This window comes from Homo sapiens, chromosome 2 (assembly GCF_000001405.40).
Source record: "Homo sapiens chromosome 2, GRCh38.p14 Primary Assembly".
Taxonomy (NCBI): Eukaryota; Metazoa; Chordata; class Mammalia; order Primates; family Hominidae; genus Homo; species Homo sapiens.
The window spans coordinates 6,384,669-6,390,381 of NC_000002.12; positions in this window are offsets into that span (position 1 = coordinate 6,384,669).

The window sequence follows — 5,713 nt, forward strand, 5'->3', positions numbered from 1 at the left end:
ACAGTCAAAATATGGCATACAAGTTAAAAAATGGTACACCTGTATGCATTACTTAACATGAATGGAGCTTTCAGGGCTAGAAGTTATTCTTGATGAGTGAATCGTGCATGAATGTGAAGTCCTGGGCCATCACTGTACACTACTGTCGACTTTAGAAACACTTGTCACTTAGGCTGCATTAACTATGCAAATACATTTTCATTTCTGTAATAACAAATTAATCTTAGTTTACTGTAACTTTTTAAATTTATACACTTTTAAAAATAATCAGCTCACTGTAACTTCCTAAATTTACAAACTTTTACAATTATTTTAACTTTTTGACTTTTTTGTAGTAACATAACTGAAAACAAACACTCTGTACAGCTGTACAAAAATATTTTTCCTTTGTATCTTTAGCTATATGCTCTTTTATCTTTTTAAAATTATTATTTATTTATTTTTAAACTTTTGTTGTTAAAAGTGAAGACGCAAATACACATATTCCCCTAGACCTAACCAGGTTCAGGATCATCAGCATCACTGTCTTCCACCTCCACATCGTGTCCCACTGGAAGGTCTTCACCAGCAGTAAGACACATGGGCTGTCACCCCCCTGGTAATAATGCTTTCCTCTGGATATCTCCTGAAGGACCTGCCTGGGGCTCTTCTACAATTAACTATTTTTTTGTACAAGCAGAAGAAGTATAATCTAAAATAATAATTAAAAGTAGAGTACAGCAAATATAGAAACCAGTAACATAATCAATAATTTTATTATTAAGTATTATGTACTGTACATAATTGTATGGGCTAGACTTTTTACAGGACTGGCAGCACAGTAGATTTATTTTCACCAGCATCGCTATACACAGGCGAGTAAGGCATTGTGCTACAGTGTCAGGAGGGCTCCAACGTCACCAGGCAATAGGAAGACATTTTTCAGCTTCATTACAATGTCATGGGACCACTGACACATATATGGTCTGTCCTTAACTAAAATGCCCTTATGGGATGCAAGACTGTACTTCCCACCTCCACTCTTACCTCCCCATTGAGGAACTACTGTTAGCAAACCAACATCTACATGATAGGCTATTATTCTCATTTTGCCTGTGTGGTCTCTTAAACCCAGTCATCTACCAAGGTTTCCCACAAAATGCCCTCACCCTTCCTCTGCCCCTGTGAGGGCAGGCACAGCATCCTATACTAGCCTCTGGTTGTGCATTTTCCACAGTTAGAAGTCTGTATAGCAAGTACAAAGCCTAGAAAGTTCCTAGAAAACTTAAAGCTCCTTAGTATGTTATCGGACCTGCCCATTACAGAAGGTTGCAGTATACGCCCTCACATTTTCACATTGCATTCTTATGCTTCTACATCTTCTTTCACCATTTGCTCACATGTTCTAGTTTATCTTCCCATCTTCAGTGATTGCAGGTGGTTTCTGTCTAGGTAACAGATCCCTGGTGGACTTTTTTTTTTTTTTGTAGAGATAATTCAAATTAAAACCACAATACCAAAAAAAAAAATTAAAAAATCTTCCTTTTCACAACCAACTCTTATCAGCCTCCACTCCTCTTTTGCTTATATACTGAGAAGGTTTTCCTGCAGCTCAGCTATCATTTCCAGGCTGTATCTCCTTTCTTGCTTTAGATGGCTTGATCTTTTCTCTTTACAATGGAGCTGATTCTTAAGTCCACGGCCCAATTTCTGCACTTCTGATGTCACATGTCGGGACAACCTCAGGCCTCACCGGCCCGCATCCCATGACGCTTGCTGTCCCTCCTCCTGTGGAGGTGACTGTTATGGTGTCTGCAGACTTGTCTGATTGGGATGGCTTCAGCTCTCTGGGACTCTTCCTTCCTAGATATTCTTCACATTAGGGCCTCCTTACCAGCAGCCTCAATTCCCCAACTATGCTGCATTTCATTTCTTCATATTGTGTCCTTAGCCTGCAAAGTTCCCAAATCCTTCCACTGAGGTTTTTTTGCTGTGGTACGATCTTCAGCAAACCCATGCCCACCGTGAGGCCTCTTCATCCATCCTCCAGTGTCTTTTCTCTTTATCCAGAAACAGACAATAAGTCATTCCTTCTGAACTCCTTTTTCTCAAACATAAAAGTGAATTTTCAGTGTGCATTCTAGATGACTTGTGCAGTATTTGACACTGACCATCCGTACCTCTTGCTTGGAATTGTTTTCTCTCCCTTGATCTCCTTCAGAGGAATTCCTCCTGGGTCTTCTCGTACCTCATCACCCATATCATCTCATCTTTTCTCTCCTCCTCTTCCATTGCCAGTTTCTTCAGTGTGGGCAGTCTCAGAGGCTTCCAGCTTTGATCCTCTTCATAGGGTCCTATGACACACACTCCAACAATCTGCTCTTTACGTGGCTTCAAATTCCAATTATCTGCTGACTCCCAGATCCGTCTCCCAGTTGAGCTTGTGTCTCTGATTGTGAGCTGCATACACCTACTTGAGCATTTCACATCCCTCGCCCCCAACTCAACATCCAACCTCATCAGTTCATTTATTTTATTATGTAAGTCATGTCTTTTTTGAGATAAAACTCATATATTATTTATTTCCCAATTCTGGTCATAATTATCTTATAAGAAATTTGAAAATGTCATTGAAAAAATGGTATTTTACCTCTTACAACCTACCCAATAGCCAAACAAAAATAACAATAAGTCCAGAAAACATTTGAAGCCATAAATGAACCCACGATGTTCCTACATACACAGCAAGTTATCTTTCTGACATGGGAAAGTTCTGTTGACCAGGAACGATGTAGGCACTGTGGAGATAGAAAGTTGAATCTGACACCATCTTTCTTTTCTTAGTCAGTTCAGGCTGCTGTAACAAATTACCATAGGTTGTGTGGCTTAAGCAACAAACATTGATTTCTCCTGGTTCTGGAGGCTGGAAGTCTGAGATCAGGACTCCAGTTTGGTGGAGCGCTGGTGAGAGCCCTCTTCCTGGTTATGGCCTCAAATGGATTTTCTGTGGTACATGCATGCAAACAGAGAGATCGCCTGTCTCTTCTTTTTATAAAGGCATTTATCCCATCATGGAGACCCCAACCCCAACACCTCATCTAAACCTGAGTGCTCCACAAAGCGTCCACTTCCAAATACCACCACATTTCCACAGATGCATTTTTTGGGGTGGTACACAAAAGTTTACTCTCTAGCACTTCCATTCTGGAAGCTTGCAGTGTATCAGGCAAGACAGACCATTATATCAAACAGGTTGTGCTCAGAGCTAGAGCAGAGCTTTAAATAATGCCATAGGATTTCTACGAGAGGTGAAATATGAAAGTCAACTATACTTTGTGTCTGCCAGATTATCATTAGAAAATCCTATAGGTTCTGATAATTGTAATCAGATACAGTATAAAGTAATTGACTAATAGGAGCATGCATATATCAGGCATGGTTTGGAGGAAATAAATGAAAGAGATCCAGAAAGATGTTAGAAATTCAAGAACGGGTTCTCCAAGGAAACATCAAAGTCATTACTATGTCACGAACCTATCTGAAATTGGGACATTTAATCTTCTAACTTCTATGAGAATTATCTAGTCTACATCTTCAGGCTTCATTTCCAACTTATTATCTTATCTACTGCCTTATTCTTTCTTACTCTATGACTTAGAGCTTGGATTTCCTGAATTAAAATTAAAAGGTGGAACATTGTCTTTGAGGAGCTTTTTACTTTCCCTAACTCTCTGCTCCAGCAAATAACACTATCTCCAAGGTCCAGGTGTGGAACCCTGGAGTCATTCCCCTTTGGTCCACATCCAATTCCATGTCTTACTTCTCACATGTATGCCTTTCTGTCACATAAGAATCCTTGAGTTTGACGCCTAAACTTGAACTTTTCTCCTTGTTTTAGTTTTTTTCCTCACCTTGGCACTTCTGGAATTCCCTTTCCTTCTTCTGCTCATAGTCATGTCTTTTACTAAATATCCTGTAGAAGAAAAGCACCATGGAAGATTCAACCCGGAATGTGAGGTGGTCCTTGCCTGTGGGGTTGCAATCTATTAGGAAACATAGTTCTTCAAACGACCATAAGTTCTTACTCTTTCCTGATAGATTGCAACCCTGTAGGAAACGTTTGTGGTAGGTGGAGCAGGAGCAAGGTCAGGGTGGTCACCCATTAGTAATGGGACATGCTTGTTTCCAATCTCATGCTTTTTTCATTTTTTCTTTTCGCTGCCACCTTTTCATAAAGTTTGAGAATGAGCTTATTGGCTTATTTTGGGCACACAGGTAATGAGGGATACAGAATGTGGTGTTGTCATTTGTTTGATCATTACATGGGGGTACCTGGGAAGAAAGGACAAGATTTCCTCTGGTAGCAGTTAAAGACAACACAGGGTCCAATGTCTGAATGTGATGGGCAGTGCCTTTTCACTATTTTTATTTTTGTTTCTTTTGTATTTTTTAGAGATAGGGTCTTAGTCTGTCACCGAGGCTGGAGTGCAGTGGTAGAGCAGAGCTCACTACAGCTTCAACCTTCTAGAATCAAGCCATCCTCCTGCCTCAGCCTCCCAATTGTCACTTTTTTTTTAACACCTTTATTGAGGGACATATGGTATAAAAAGATACACCAATTTCAAGTGTATTTAAGTGATTACTTTTTACTTATTTTACTGAGTAAAATAAGCAAAATTCATGGAAAGCAACCCTCACCATATATTGCTTTTTTAACATTTTCATGCTTCCAAGGAGATCCCTCAAACCCATTTCGAGTTTACTTCTAATCCTACTTCAAGCATCAGCTAACCACTAATCTACTTTCTCTATACATTCGCTCTTTGTGAACATTTCATATAAATGGATTCATACGGTATGTATTTGTGTGTGTGTGGTTTCGCTTACTTAGCATTATGAGTTTGAGTTTCACACAGGATGTAGCATGTGTCAGTAGTTTGCTTTTTTATGGCTGAATAGTATTCCAGCATATGGCTATATCACATTTTCTCAATCCACTGTCCAGCTGATGCAAAGCTACGTTGTGTCCAGTCTCAGGCTCTTAGAAATGATGCCTCTAAGAACGTTCATGTGCGAGTCTCTGTGTAGACCTGTTTTTATTTCTCTTGGGCAGATTCCTAGGAGCAGAATAGCTGGGTCATATGGAAGTCCTATATTTAAGTTTTTGAGAAACCGCCAAACTATTTTCCAAAGTGTCTGCACCATCTATTTTATTATTATTATTTTTTTATTTTTGAGACAGAGTCTCGCTCTGTCGCCCAGGCTAGAGTGCAGTGGCAGGATCTCGGCTCACTGCAACCTCCACCTCCCAGGTTCACGCCATTCTTCTGCCTCAGCCTCATGAGTAGCTGGGACTACAGGCGCCCACCACAACGCCCGGCTAATTTTTTGTATTTTTTTAGTAGAGATGGGGTTTCACTGTGTTAGCCAGGATGGTCTTGATCTCCTGAACTCATGATCCGCCCCGCCTCGGCCTCCCAAAGTGCTGGGATTACAGGCGTGAGCCACCGCGCCCGGCCGTGTCTGCACCATCTTACACTCCTACCACCAATGTATGAGAGTTCCCATTTCTCCACATCCTTAGTAATGCTTGTTATTTTCTATCTTATTTTTTATTGCAGCAGATATAAAATAGTCCCTTATTGTCATTTTAGTTTACATTTTCCCAATGACTAATGATAGCCATTTTCATGTACTTATTCATATATACCTTGGGTGAAATGTTAGTTCATAC